The following is a 12,635-nucleotide window of genomic DNA, read 5'->3' as shown; positions in this document are numbered from 1 at the left end:
TCTTTATCGAAATTTTGTTCACAATGGATTTTCTTGCATTAATTTTGATTTTTCAAAAACATTGCATTCAATATTATTTTTCTTGATTACTGAGGATTTTGGTGCCTCCTTAATTTTAAGGCTGGGGCAGTTGCCTTCATTGCCTCACCATAGTCCTGACCCTGCTGGGGAAATACACTCCACATCTTCAGTGAAAGGAGCTGCAGTCATATGGCAAAGGGCATGGATTTTAAGAGATGAAGAGTTAGAGCTGCTAGTACAATCAATCTACCACAATTAATTTTGGCCATTTTTTACACTGGGCGCAGTGACTGATGCCTGTAATCCCAGCACTTTGGGAGGCTGAGGCAGGAGGATCACTTGAGTGCAGGAGTTTGAGACCAGCCTGGGCTATACAGGGAGATCCCATCTGTACAAAAAGTTTTTTTTTAAATATTAGGTGGGTGTGATAGCATGCTCCTATAGTCCCAGCTACTCAGAAGGCTGAGGTAGGAAGATCCTTCAGCCTGGGAATTTGAGGCTGCAGTGAGCTGTGATTATGCCACTGTACTCCACCCTGGGTGACAGAGCAAGACCTTGTTTGGGGCCCTTTTTTTGTTTTATATAAGTGGAATTGGACAATGTGTATTCTCTTGAGTCTGGCATCTTTTTCTTAATGTAATATTTGTGAAATACATCCAGAGTGTTGTGTGTAATTGTAAATCATTCATTTTCATTGCTATACAGAATCCTGTTGTACAAAGACACCACCGGGTTGAAAGGCATTCGGATAGTCACCATTTACGGCTATGAATACCATTGTGTTGAACAATCTAGTATAAATCTCTATTAAATATATATGCATTTTTGTTGGACATGTACATAGGAATGGAATTGCTGGGTCCGAGGGTGTGTGTACATTCAGTTTTAATTGTTGCCAGTTTCCCAACAATTCGTTTAGCTTTATTAAAGTTCTTGGTATGTAGTAGTATCAGTCTTCCAGTTTTGTTCTTTTTTAAGATAGTCTGGCTATTTTTGGCTCCACATTTCTAAATAAATTTTAGAAATAGCTTCTCAATTTCCACAAAAGAAAAAACCTGCTGGGATCTTTACTGTGCTAGTTTTGAATTTGTAGACTAATTTGGGAAGAACTGACATCTTTTCAATATACCTCCATGTCATCTTAAATTTTTCTCCATGTCTCATACCTTTGTATATCTACTTTGAATAAGACAGGTAGCCAATAAATATATAAAATAGGTGGTTAATTAATGCATTACAAGGCTTTAGACTTAATGATATTTTTTCAGCCACACTACTCACCTGCTATGGTTCAAATGTCCTCACCAAAACTGTTGTTGAAATTTAATTGCCGTTGTTACAGTTTTGGGAGATGGGGCCTGTAAGAGGTGATGAGGTCCTGAGGGCTCTGCCTTTGTGAATAGACTCATGCTGTCATCACAGAAGTGAGTGAGCGATCTTGGGAGTCTGGCCCCCTTTTCCTCCCTCCCTCCCTCTCTGTCTCTGTCTCTCTTTCTCACACTCCCTCTCTTGCCCTTCTGCCTCCCTGCCATGGAATGACCCTTCCTGGAGGACAGCACCATGCTCTTGGACTTCCCAGCCTCCAAAACCATACACTAAATAAATTTCTCTTCATTATAAATTACCCACTCTGTAGTATTCTGTTACAGCAACAGGAAACCTACTAAGACAACCTCTTCCAGACACCTGAACTCATTCTTCTCTTCCATTCCCCTAGGCCTTGCACATGCTCTTCCTTAGTCAGGTAGAATTCCCTCCCTGCCCTCTCTCCCTCCTGCCTGACTAAATCTAGTCTTCCTTGACAAGTCTATTCAAATGTCACTGCTCTGCAGAGTTACCAATTCCTCTTTGTTTTCTCCCACTGCATTTCTTCACCTGATTTTAAGTTGCCATGTTGTATTAGAATGAGCTGCTCGGGTATCCACTAAACACTTGGTTGCCTACCAGAACCAGCCCAGCACTAAGTAGATTTGTGTTGGATAAATGAAAATGACCATTCCGCTTTTTGCTGGGCTGTTTGGTTTAGGTGTTTTTGTTGGGCTGTTTGTTAGTTGATTTGTTTTGTCTTTGTAGGACTTCATTTGAATTGAAATTTAGTCAAAGAAAGAAAAATTGTGTTCCAGTTTGGCAAAGGAGTACATGTCTATCTGATTTTTGCTTCATTATTTATTTTGATTTGAAAATATGTCTTTATATTAAACCTCTTTACAATATGGATTTGAAGCAGATAAATTGTTTGGTCTGATTCACATCACAGCTTCTGAGTTAGCTTAGAAGAAAACCATCAACTGATGTTTCCGGTAACCAGCAGCAAGAGAGCTCATGAAAAGGCAGGCACACCTCCAGTGACCACTAGGTGGCAGTTTCACTCTCAATATGACCAGATTGACAATGTCCATCCAAGAAGTCTGGGGCAGGTAAGTTGGAGCACAAGACCAAGCTTAACTAGGCCTGTGGGTGGAAAAATGAAGACCCAAACTCAGCCCTGAAGAAAATGGAGTTATGGAAAAAACAGCACATGGAAAATGTAAAGGAATGCCACTAGACATTATTTCACTGAAAGGTTAGCTAAGTTAACCACAGCCACAAAATCAGTAGAGAAAAGACGTGCCGGACCCGAGACAGGCCAGACAGTGTTGAAAGGCAAAGGAGTCTCCAGTCCACCCTCCATGGCTGGAGCCCAGACCCCTGGGGAAAGGCAGGATGGTTGCAGGCTGGTCATTGCTGAGCCCCTGGTAATGTGCCGAGTGACCAACTTCAGGTGTCTCTCCGCCAAGACTGCTTGGTTCTCCTCTTCTGAGTGACCCCAGAAGGAACCCCTGAGAGACACTGCTTAGTCTTTCTAGTTCCCATTCCAAAGTTGGATAAGGGACTTTTCAAGCTTAAAGTGGGAACGAGGGGCAGGGCTTATCTCCACAGGAAGCCAAGGTGGCTCCTATCATAGCAAATCAAGATACTTCATGGGTACACCCACAACAGGCCAGCCAGGGCCCCTGAGGAAATTATGTGGACTATTAACCTTAAGGAGGCTGCAGGCCAAAAGCATCAACCGACTTCTATCAGGAGTGTATTTTTTTTTTTATGATGCAGAATAGGGAATAGGGAAACTATCCTGGAATAGGGAAACTGAGGCCCAGAGCAAGCCAGGGATGAAACAATTCCATCCCCCGTGACTGAGAAGAGAGCCTTCAGGTAGGCTTGAGGAAACAAAAGCCCTGAGGAAGCTGTCTTGGCAATGTCCAGGTTATTACACTATAACATCCACTCATACGTTTGTGGTAGGGCTTCAACTTTTACACACGAATAACCTGAGTGATCGAATTACCTGTTCTCTTCTCTTTCTCTGCTACCAACCCCAGAAAGACTGCAAAGAATAGACACTTGAGTCTAAACCAAACTGCTAGGCTCAAAGAACACTGCACCAGCTATGAGGTAATAACCACCATGGGTTACAGGATCTGTGAACGGGATAAGCTCCTTTACTTCCCCCCGGCTGGAGTGTGAGTTATAAAACAGACTAACAAGGAGAGGGAGAGACAAGTTTTCAGGAAGAGCTGGTAAGAAGGCACCTGCAGCTTCTCCCCAACATCTTACACACCACACCGACATCAACCTCCTAGTTTGACATCCCTGTAACTAGGCCTTGACATCAAGGCCTAGTTTGGGTGGGGAAAGTAACCCCCAGAGGATCTGAGAGGAGAGATTGGCATGCTCTCCTCCTGGTGGACTTTCCCAAGTAGCAGCCCCCACAGACACATCTGTCACTGGGTCGCAGGAAGACAGGAAGTGGTGAACGGCGGGGCACAGTTAGGTAGGAGGGGCTGGAAGCCACTTCTGGGCTTCTCTTGGAGTCAAACTTTGTAATGCAGGAGATCCATGCATTTCCTTGGACCCAGCATTGTCTGAAGACATGAGCTGGAGCTTGTATCAACTTGCCAGCCCCAAAAGGACTCTTGGAGAAGAGAAGGGAAGCATCTTCTCCCAGATTCCAATCCCTGAGCTCTTGTTGGTGGCCCTGGGTTAGATGTTCACTTGCTCTGAGCCTCAGCTTTCCTCCCTGTAAAATGGGGATAACATTACCTAATTCATATAGTTGTTAGAATTAAATGAAATAAAATTCATCAAGTTTCTTGTACAGAATAGATGACTAATGAATGGGATGGGTCTGGAGCACCTGCCTGGGATGGAGCCACTGACTGACTATGAAGGAGCAGAGAGTTCTACGTGCTTCCTAAAAACGCCAGCTTCTAGCAACACCTATGCCAGGGGACATCAGCAAAAAAGTAAACCCAGGGGTGCCAAGAAGCACTTGAGACCAGAGTAAGGATGCCCTCCCCGTCACTGGCACACAGCTAACCATGGAAAAGGACTTCTCTATGACTGCCAGCCACCAAGGAAATTAGGGACACCAGAGGCAAGAAAATTATGTTCAGTTACAAAATACATTCCATTTTATAGCCATTTCTATTATCGGTTGCTACTATAATAAATTACCAAAACTTTAGCAGCTTAAAACACACACTATCATTTAGTTCTATGGGCCAGAAGTCCTATGGGTCTCATAGGACTAAAATCAACGTCTCGGCAGGACAGCGTTCCTTGGTGGCAGCTCTGGGGGTGCATCACTATCTTTGCTCATTCTGGTCTTGACAGTTCCGTGGGACTGTAAGACTGAGGTCCTTGCTGGTTGCTAACTGGGGCCACCCTGAACTCCTAGAAGACATTTGCTCTGTCCTTACATAGAGTCCCTACCTCTCAGAACCAGCCACAGGGCATGGAATCCTTCTCTCATGGCCCTCTCTTTGACTCCAATTCCCCTAGCTGCATTTCTGTCTCTGACTGCACCCAGGGAAGCCTGTCTGCTTTTTAGGATTAGATTAGGCCCATTCGGATAATCCAGGATAATCTCTTTATCTCAAGATCCTTAATGTTAACCACACTTGCAAAATCCTGTTTGCTATTAAGATAACATATTTACAGTTTCTAGGAATGAGAATGTAAACATCTTTGGGTTGGGGGAGTGGGCATCTTTCTGTCTATCAAACTATTCACCAGGCATTTATTTACTATCTTAATGGCCAAGTACAGTGCTATGTGCTGAATTGATGTTGGTATAAGGGGCATGGGGCAGGGGAGAAAGTCTAGGATGGGTGATGCCCCCCACTGGGATATCTGACTTAGAGCTTTGCAGTACTCCAGGGGATGCTGTTGACATAAAATACAATGTAGATTGTAACTCTCACCTCTCACTCCCTTAACCCTCTTGACTCCCCAGTCCTTGCCCCTGACTTATACAGGCTGGAGGTGTCTGAATAAGGTCATTCCAGTTCTCTGGGAGGCAGGAGCTAAGCTCACCAGGGGACTGAGATCCAGGTTCAGCCATAGCAGAAACTGAGAACCCTGCTAGATCCAGGTTCAGCCATAGCAGAAAAAAACAGAGCAAGGTGGGACTTACAGCCATCCAAACAGACGCCTGGAGACAGATGCTGCTCCTGCCCTTAGCCTTGCTTCCTGGCCTGGTTTCATGGTTCCTCCGGGGACTAGAGAGGGAAATGCCCAGGTCCTCTTGGGCCCCTTGTAGCTCCATATCAGAACAGAAAACCTGTCACTAACTGAAGTCCCTTCCGGCTGAGGTACCCCGGCCTATATTTTGCAGCTCCAGGGCTCATCAGAGCCACCAATTTGCTGATGGGTTCTCAACCACAAGGATGGTGAGTCAGCACAGTGGTTGACTCTCAGCAGAGAGGATGCAGCCTTCAGCAGAGCTCCTGGTGGGGCAGCCTCCTGATCAGCCTGTGCTGTGGTCCTGCCCCTGCATTTCTTCCAGTCCTGGACGTCCCTGGCCTGGCTGGCACCCTAGTCGCACACCCAAGAAGCAGTTCAGCTTGCTGAGCACAGTGTTTCCCAAAACTGTGGCATAAGAGGTGAAGGATAGACCAGGGAGGAAGTCTTCAGCCCAGTCTGACAAACACAGGCCAACGTTTGGCCAACAGCAACTCAGGCTCTTTGCTCTAGGCCAAACTTGAAACATTAGTGTGCTGGTAGGTGTTCTGCCTTCCCTCCCTCTGCTCTAGAATTCAGATCTGGAAGCCAGGTCCTGACAGCTGGGATCCAGATGCAGTCCCCATCACAGCATCACATTCTGGCCAACCAGGCTTCCAGTGGCAGGAGCTGCCACCAGGAATGGGCACCAGTCCTCTCTCAGTTAAAAAGCCTTTGCTTCACACCACAAAACCCAAAGTGCCAGCTGTGGTGACAACCACTGCTCCTACCACTTAAAATTTGCTGGCAAGGGAGACTTTTAGAGAATGATTCCCCCACAAATATAGCATTCCTTTTTTTAATCTTTCCTGTACCCCTCTTAGGGCTAAGTTACTGATGATAGCCCTGCGTGATACAGAGCAAGCTGGCAGCAAGGAGGAAAATTGTCAGCAGTGACAAGCTCCAGATGACAGTTATGTGGCTTGGAAGGCAAGTCTTACTCTAAAGAGATCCTGCCCCCATCCCAGCTCTGGATTACTTGGTCTGATAGGTTTTACAGGGTATGACCCCAGTTTTCTGTTTAAGGACATTGGCCTCCAGATATGACTAGGAGGGAGTTTTCCTCTAATATCTTTCCGCAAAGATCACCATGACAATGACCAGAATAATAAATATCTATAATCACATGCAATCTTTAGCTTTAGTAATAGAGTGTGACAGAGAACTCTGCTGCTGCTGCTGCTGCTGCTGCTGCTGCTGCTGATAGTGATGGCGATGATAAGGAAGACACAAGATAATCTGACCTTCCTCAGCCTCTGATGGCTGATTACAGGTAGATGTGGCTTCTGAAGCAAAGTTACATAATTCACCTCTTGTTCCTGATCCACTTTTAGCAAAACTTCCGTGGAAAGGACCTTGTACCTTCTTGAAGTATCCAACATGCTGTCATCTTTATGTTTTCCTACCAAGTTCCCACATTTCTGCCTCAGTGGGTTCTACAGTCTGAACCCCAGAAACAATTTCATAGTTCAAACATCTGGCATGCTATTACATCAAAGGGATTGCAGATTCCCAACCTGGAATGGAAGAATCCTTGACTCCCCGCACCCGCCCCCCAATTCTGCTCTACCTCAAAACTGCCTACATCATCTCAACCACCCAAGTTTTGGGAAACGGGTGAATTCCCTCTTCCTTTTCATTGAGACTAGCCCAGGTCATAGACCCAATCTCTTTACTGGGGACTTAGGCTAATAATTTCGAGTACACAAAATCAATAGCAAAAATAAAGTCCCACGTTGCAGAACATCCTCAACTGAGGAGAGAGCTCATTGGTTGAGAGTGTTTGTAGTATCATGCACTGCCCAGGAATGCAGAGAACACGTAGTTCTGTTAGCTCTTATTGATTGAGAGTGGAAGACAGCTCTTGGAATGTAGGGAAAAACTTCTACGGATGTCATGGAAATAAAGATTCATGTTTTTTAAATAATGGAATCACAATGAATCAGACCAGAGTGACATTAAACTGGATGTCCCTGTCCTTAAAGTTGAAGGTGAGATCCTTTCAGGCAAGCAGGCAATGCTGTCACTGGGAGACTCTCATGAGTTCTGGGAAGACAAGGCTCCCAGTATAGAACATCTGGTAACTTCCCAACTGTTACACTATCTTTTAGGAACCATTAACATAAGTGTCCAGTCATGTCCTGGAATTGGCCTAAGTTCCATGTGTGCTCTTAAAATGAACTTGGACCCTACTCTACTCCAGCCCACCAGCCTTCTCACTGTTCTTCCAACACCCCAAGTTTGTTTCTACCTTGGAGGCCTTACCCACTGTTGCCTCTGTCTGAAACATTCCTCCTTCAGCTTCTTTGTGGCTGAGCCCCTCTCACTGTTCAGGCCTCAGTTCAAATGTCTCCCCTCAGAGGTGCTGATGCCTGATGCCCCCTCTGAGGTAGCCCACCCACCCCAAGGGTTCACTATCCCACTTTCCCCTCTTATTTTCTTATCATTGTCTGACATGATCTTAGGTCTGGTTTGCTTATTGTCTACTGTCTTCTGTCACCCTACACAAGTGTGAGCTCCGTGGGAGCAGGGCCCTTGCCAGTCTTGTTCACTGCTGTGTTCTCAAGGTTCAGATGGTATCTGGCACATGGTGGGCAGCCAATGGAGTATGGAAACACATATTCAGTCATACATGTTTGATGGGCTGGGAATCCCCAGAGGAGGTCAAATTGGAGAGAGAAAGAGAGAAAACTGGACTCTAGGGGAAAATCCCAAGGGGACAAGGGCTCTGATGGAGAGGGCCGGACCAGGCAGCCAGGCTCGAGTCTCCGACGTACATGGCTGTGTTATGTCATTCCCTCCCCACCCAGGAAAAAAGAACACTGATGTGTAAAATAACTAGGGCCGTGCAAGCCTGTGATAGAAACTCCTTGAAGAAATCTTATTTTCAGAGAGCCTCCATGAAAACCTCTGGGAACCAAGACACTGGGTGCCAGCCCCAAGAGTAACTATTAGGGAGTCCAGGACAAGAGGCCCACAAAAGCTGCCTGGTTTTCCTCCCATTGCTGGATAGTGAGATATAAAGCCAGCTGGAGATGAAGGGGATCAAACTTTATTATATATTTACTTACTTATTTGGACATGTCAGTGTTTGTTTGTTTATTGTATATATTTAATAATGCACAACGTGATGTTTTGATATACATAGTGAAATAATTACTAGAGTCAAGCCAATTAACATATCATCATCTCACAGAGTTACCTTTTTTAGGGTGTGTGGTAAGAACACCTAAAATCTGCTCTCTAAGCGAATTTCCAGTACAGATGGTCCTTGACTTAATGATGGTTTGACTTAAGATGTTTCAGCATTATGACAATGTGGAAGAGATACACATTCAGCATGCTTCTTGACTTACAATAAGGTTATGTTAGAGAAGCATCTGTATATAATATAATATTATATCGTCCTTGTGCTGTGCATTAGATTTCAAGGCTTATTCATCCTATGTAACTGCAGTTTTGTACCCTTTGACCTACATCTCCCCCTGGTCCCTTTGGTAACTGCCAGTCTACTCTCTGTTTTGATTATTTTTAGATTCCTCATATAAAAGAGATCATATGATATTTGTTGTTCTGTGTCTGGTACATTTCACTTAACGTAATGTCCTCCAGGTTAATCCATGTTGTCACAACTGGCAGGATTTCTTCCTTTTTAAGGCTAAATAATATTCCATTGTGTGTGTCACACACACACACACACACGCACACCACATTTTCTTTATCCAGTCATCTGTCAATGGACACATTGTTTTCATATCTCAACTACTGTGAATAATGCTGCTTTAGAAGCACAGTAAGAAGTCACCCGGAACCTTCTCCCTGCCACCACCCAACCCCAAGGCCTTGTCCTAAGTCAGGAAGAGGGAAGCCTGAGAAGAGAAAAAAAAAAAAAAAAAAGGGAAAGACAAAATGGTATCTCTGTGAGCTTTGGCGATTGAGAAACAGCTAAGACTGGAATTCTCCCTGACCCATTCCTGAGTTTTCTGAGCTTGCAACCCCTGCAGGCATGCCTTGCAAGTCACATATTATAATTCCTATTTTCCAGGCAAAAGATTAAAGACTCAAAGTACAGTTGACTGGTTATAGAAATGTGCTTGTCTGACTGCTGGATTACCATCCCTCTGGACCTCCTGCCAGTATTAGAACCCTAATTTTTAAAGGCACCAGGTGGGCCATGCTCAGGGGAGGCTGAGCTGCTTGCTGCCAATGTAAGGGAATCATGATTAAACTATGCCAGTGATCTGAGCACTGGCTGCCCATTAGAACCATCCCAGTCTAGTTAAACCAGCTTATCTGGAGTAAGTCTAGGCCTCAGTAGTTTTATAAAGCTCCCCAGTGATTCAAAAGTGCAGCCAGGACGGGGATGGGCCAACCTAAACTACTCATGATAATTTCCATTCTCATTAGCATGGAGGGAGAGTGTTCTGCAGGGTTCTGGGAAAGCAAAATTCCTTTCTTTGAAACACAAACATATTGTGTTGATGAAACAGGCTGTGCTGCACCCTGAGGTGATGCCTAGAACTGTGGACACCATCTGGAGAACAAAAGCCAGCACACTAAAGTCGGCAGGGGAAAAAGAAGGGGAAAGCCCGGCTACTTAAGATATTATTGGACCGAGCTCACGCCGGTAATCCCAGCACTTTTGGAGGCTGAGGCAGGCAGATTGCCTGAGGTCAGGAACTCAAGATCAGCCTAGCCAACATGGTGAAACCCCATCTCTACTAAAAAAAAAAAAATACAAAAATTAGCCATGCATGGTAGCAGGCACCTGTAATCCCAGCTAGCCAGGAGGCTGAGGCAGGAGAATCGCTTGAACCTGGGAGGCAGAGGTTGCAGTGAGCTGAGCTGAGATCACGCCACTGCACTCCAGCCTGGGCGACAGAGCAAGACTCCATCTCAAAAAAAAAAAAGAAGAGAACAGATGAATTACCCAACCCTGAAACTGCTCTCACCCGGACTTTCTGTGTTAAGTGAGTTAATAGTTTGATGTGGCCAGTTTTTGTTGGATTTTTTATTACTTGAAGCTGAGAACATTCTATGTGATATAATCACACAGAAAGCAGCAGAGCTGAAAGTCAAGCCAAGTTCAACTCTGAGGCAGCCAATAGAAGCTAAGAGTGAGGAGAGACCAACAGATAAGTGGAGTTATTTGAATCAGATCAGCGGGTTTCTAGATGGTTTTTAACTAGTAAAGGTAGTTTGTTAAGGTTATGAAATTTTTTCTCTTCTTTTTTTCCTATTCATCAGAATCCCTACATGAAAATGAAGAACATCATCTAGTAATTAATTGCCAGGTTTAAAAATATAAAATTGGAGAAGAAGGCCAGGTTTGAAATTTGGAAGGTGGTTGAAATTAACAGCTAAATTTAAGAATCAGGATTGTCTTGGGTTTCAGTAAAACATCTAGTAAATTTATTCATTTAGTCAATAACCTCAGTGACTAATGAGTCAAACCAGTTTTTCAGTCCAGTAATTTTTCATTTAGGGCCCCCAAATTAAATGTTAGAAAGGCCTCTTTCTAACATTTAGTCATTATAAAATAATCAAATCAGTGAAAAATCAGCCACCAGAAATAAAACTGCCTCTTGGAAGGTTCTTATACTTATCTGTATCACCATATTCCAACAGGCAGCTTAAGGAAAGGGGTCTGTCTGTGCCTTTCAGTTCACAAGCAACCTTGAGAAGGCTAGAAATTTCCACAACAGTACCAAAGAACTGCCTGAAGGTGGCGCTCAAGGGCGATAGTAACAGAGTGTGTGATCTGGCAATTTCAGCATTTGCAAGAAGTCAAGCCAGTTTTTCTTTTCTTCCTGATAAAGCTAATTGCCTTGCATTAACACACAGCATAAGACTTCGCAGCACAAAAAGAATAACGGAATTATAAAAGGTATAATTTAGAGGCTTTGTCAAGAGCTGTGATGAGCATATCCTAATAGGTATAAATGTTCTGAAGTACTAATGCTCTATTAAGAGGGGTTTCTGAAGGAGGAACAATGCCTGCATTAGTGTTCGGGCTCTGGAGAGGAAAAGCTTTTTGGTCTGCAATTACTGGTCTCCTATTCTTTACTTTAGAACACATCTACTTGATGCTTGCTATTTTTTTCAGGCACACTTCCCCCCTCTTGTTTCACGTGTACATTCACATGAGTAAAATATTGCTTTTTACGCTTTGCTGGGTATTGAAGTTGCTGTCTGATGGAGAGGCTTAGAGCCTCACCTTGAAGCGGCTTCCCCTAACACTGGGTCTGTGAAGCTTCAAAGTGCAAAACATGCTCATCTAGACAATACCATAAGGCCACCGACTTTGGATTTTCTGCCCTACTTCCTGAGCCTGCATCTCCGACTATTCTTTCCTTTGAAGCTCTATAAAAGTATGCACTCTTGCCTCCCTGTAGAGTAAGCTGCTCCTAGAATAGGAACTGCTAACACTTTCTCTTTTATTGCCTTGACAGTAGCAGACCTCCTACCTCCCAATTCCATATCGCCACCGCCCCCCGAGCTCCAGTACTTTCCCACCTTGGGCTAGGACCAGCATGAACACATCTCCCAGGCACATCCCCTTGCATTTAGGAGGCCTCAGCCCCTGACCTAAGGTTGCCCTGGCTCTTGGCTTTCTCCCTTGAAGATCAGGTTAATCCTACTGAGAAGAGAGAAAGAAATTAAAGTTTATCTTACCTAAGGAGGAAATTCTTTCTGATCCCTATACCTTCAAAGACCCTCCTCTGCACTGGACTGTGAATGCTGAAAGGCAGCCAGGATTGGAGCTGATAGAAATGGATTGCCAGGTAGCATTGGTTAGTCTTATGTCTTTCGTGGCTTCTAAAGCCTCATCTCCTATTAGCAGGAAGACTTGGCCTCCATATTCTCTCCCTTCCCCAGTCTAATAGCCTGGCCTGACTTCCTACCACCTGCCCCTTGAGGTTTCTTTCACCCAGAGTTGCCTCCAGAAGGAAGTAGGCCAAAAAGGGGAAAATCCAAAGTCAGACTTGTGGGGAGGGTGTGAGCCACCAATGGGGACTGAGAATACAAAATTACTTTGGTAGAGGAGTACGTTGTCCCTCCCCAGGACAGAG

At 44.6% G+C, this 12,635-nt stretch overlaps 1 long non-coding RNA gene across 1 annotated transcript, besides 1 other annotated feature; it reads right to left on the bottom strand.

The window, feature by feature from the left end:
• Positions 1–2,177: 2,177 nt before the first annotated feature.
• On the bottom strand, positions 2,178–5,618 carry LINC02694 (long intergenic non-protein coding RNA 2694). Its single transcript, NR_160786.1, has 2 exons — positions 5,477–5,618; positions 2,178–4,078 (listed from the first exon to the last, which is right to left on the bottom strand). It is a non-coding gene; the product is annotated as a long intergenic non-protein coding RNA 2694 (long non-coding RNA).
• Positions 5,459–5,508: an enhancer, noted in NCBI's record as "active region_9214". NCBI's record gives its function as "activates an Ori minimal core promoter by ATAC-STARR-seq in GM12878 lymphoblastoid cells {active_cell/tissue: GM12878}" and the evidence as "EXISTENCE:reporter gene assay evidence [ECO:0000049][PMID:35858748]".
• Positions 5,619–12,635: the final 7,017 nt, after the last annotated feature.

Source organism: Homo sapiens, chromosome 15 (assembly GCF_000001405.40).
Source record: "Homo sapiens chromosome 15, GRCh38.p14 Primary Assembly".
In the NCBI taxonomy this organism is placed as follows: Eukaryota; Metazoa; Chordata; class Mammalia; order Primates; family Hominidae; genus Homo; species Homo sapiens.
The sequence above is the reverse complement of the archived record's forward strand: the minus strand, read 5'-3'. Positions and strand labels throughout refer to the sequence as shown.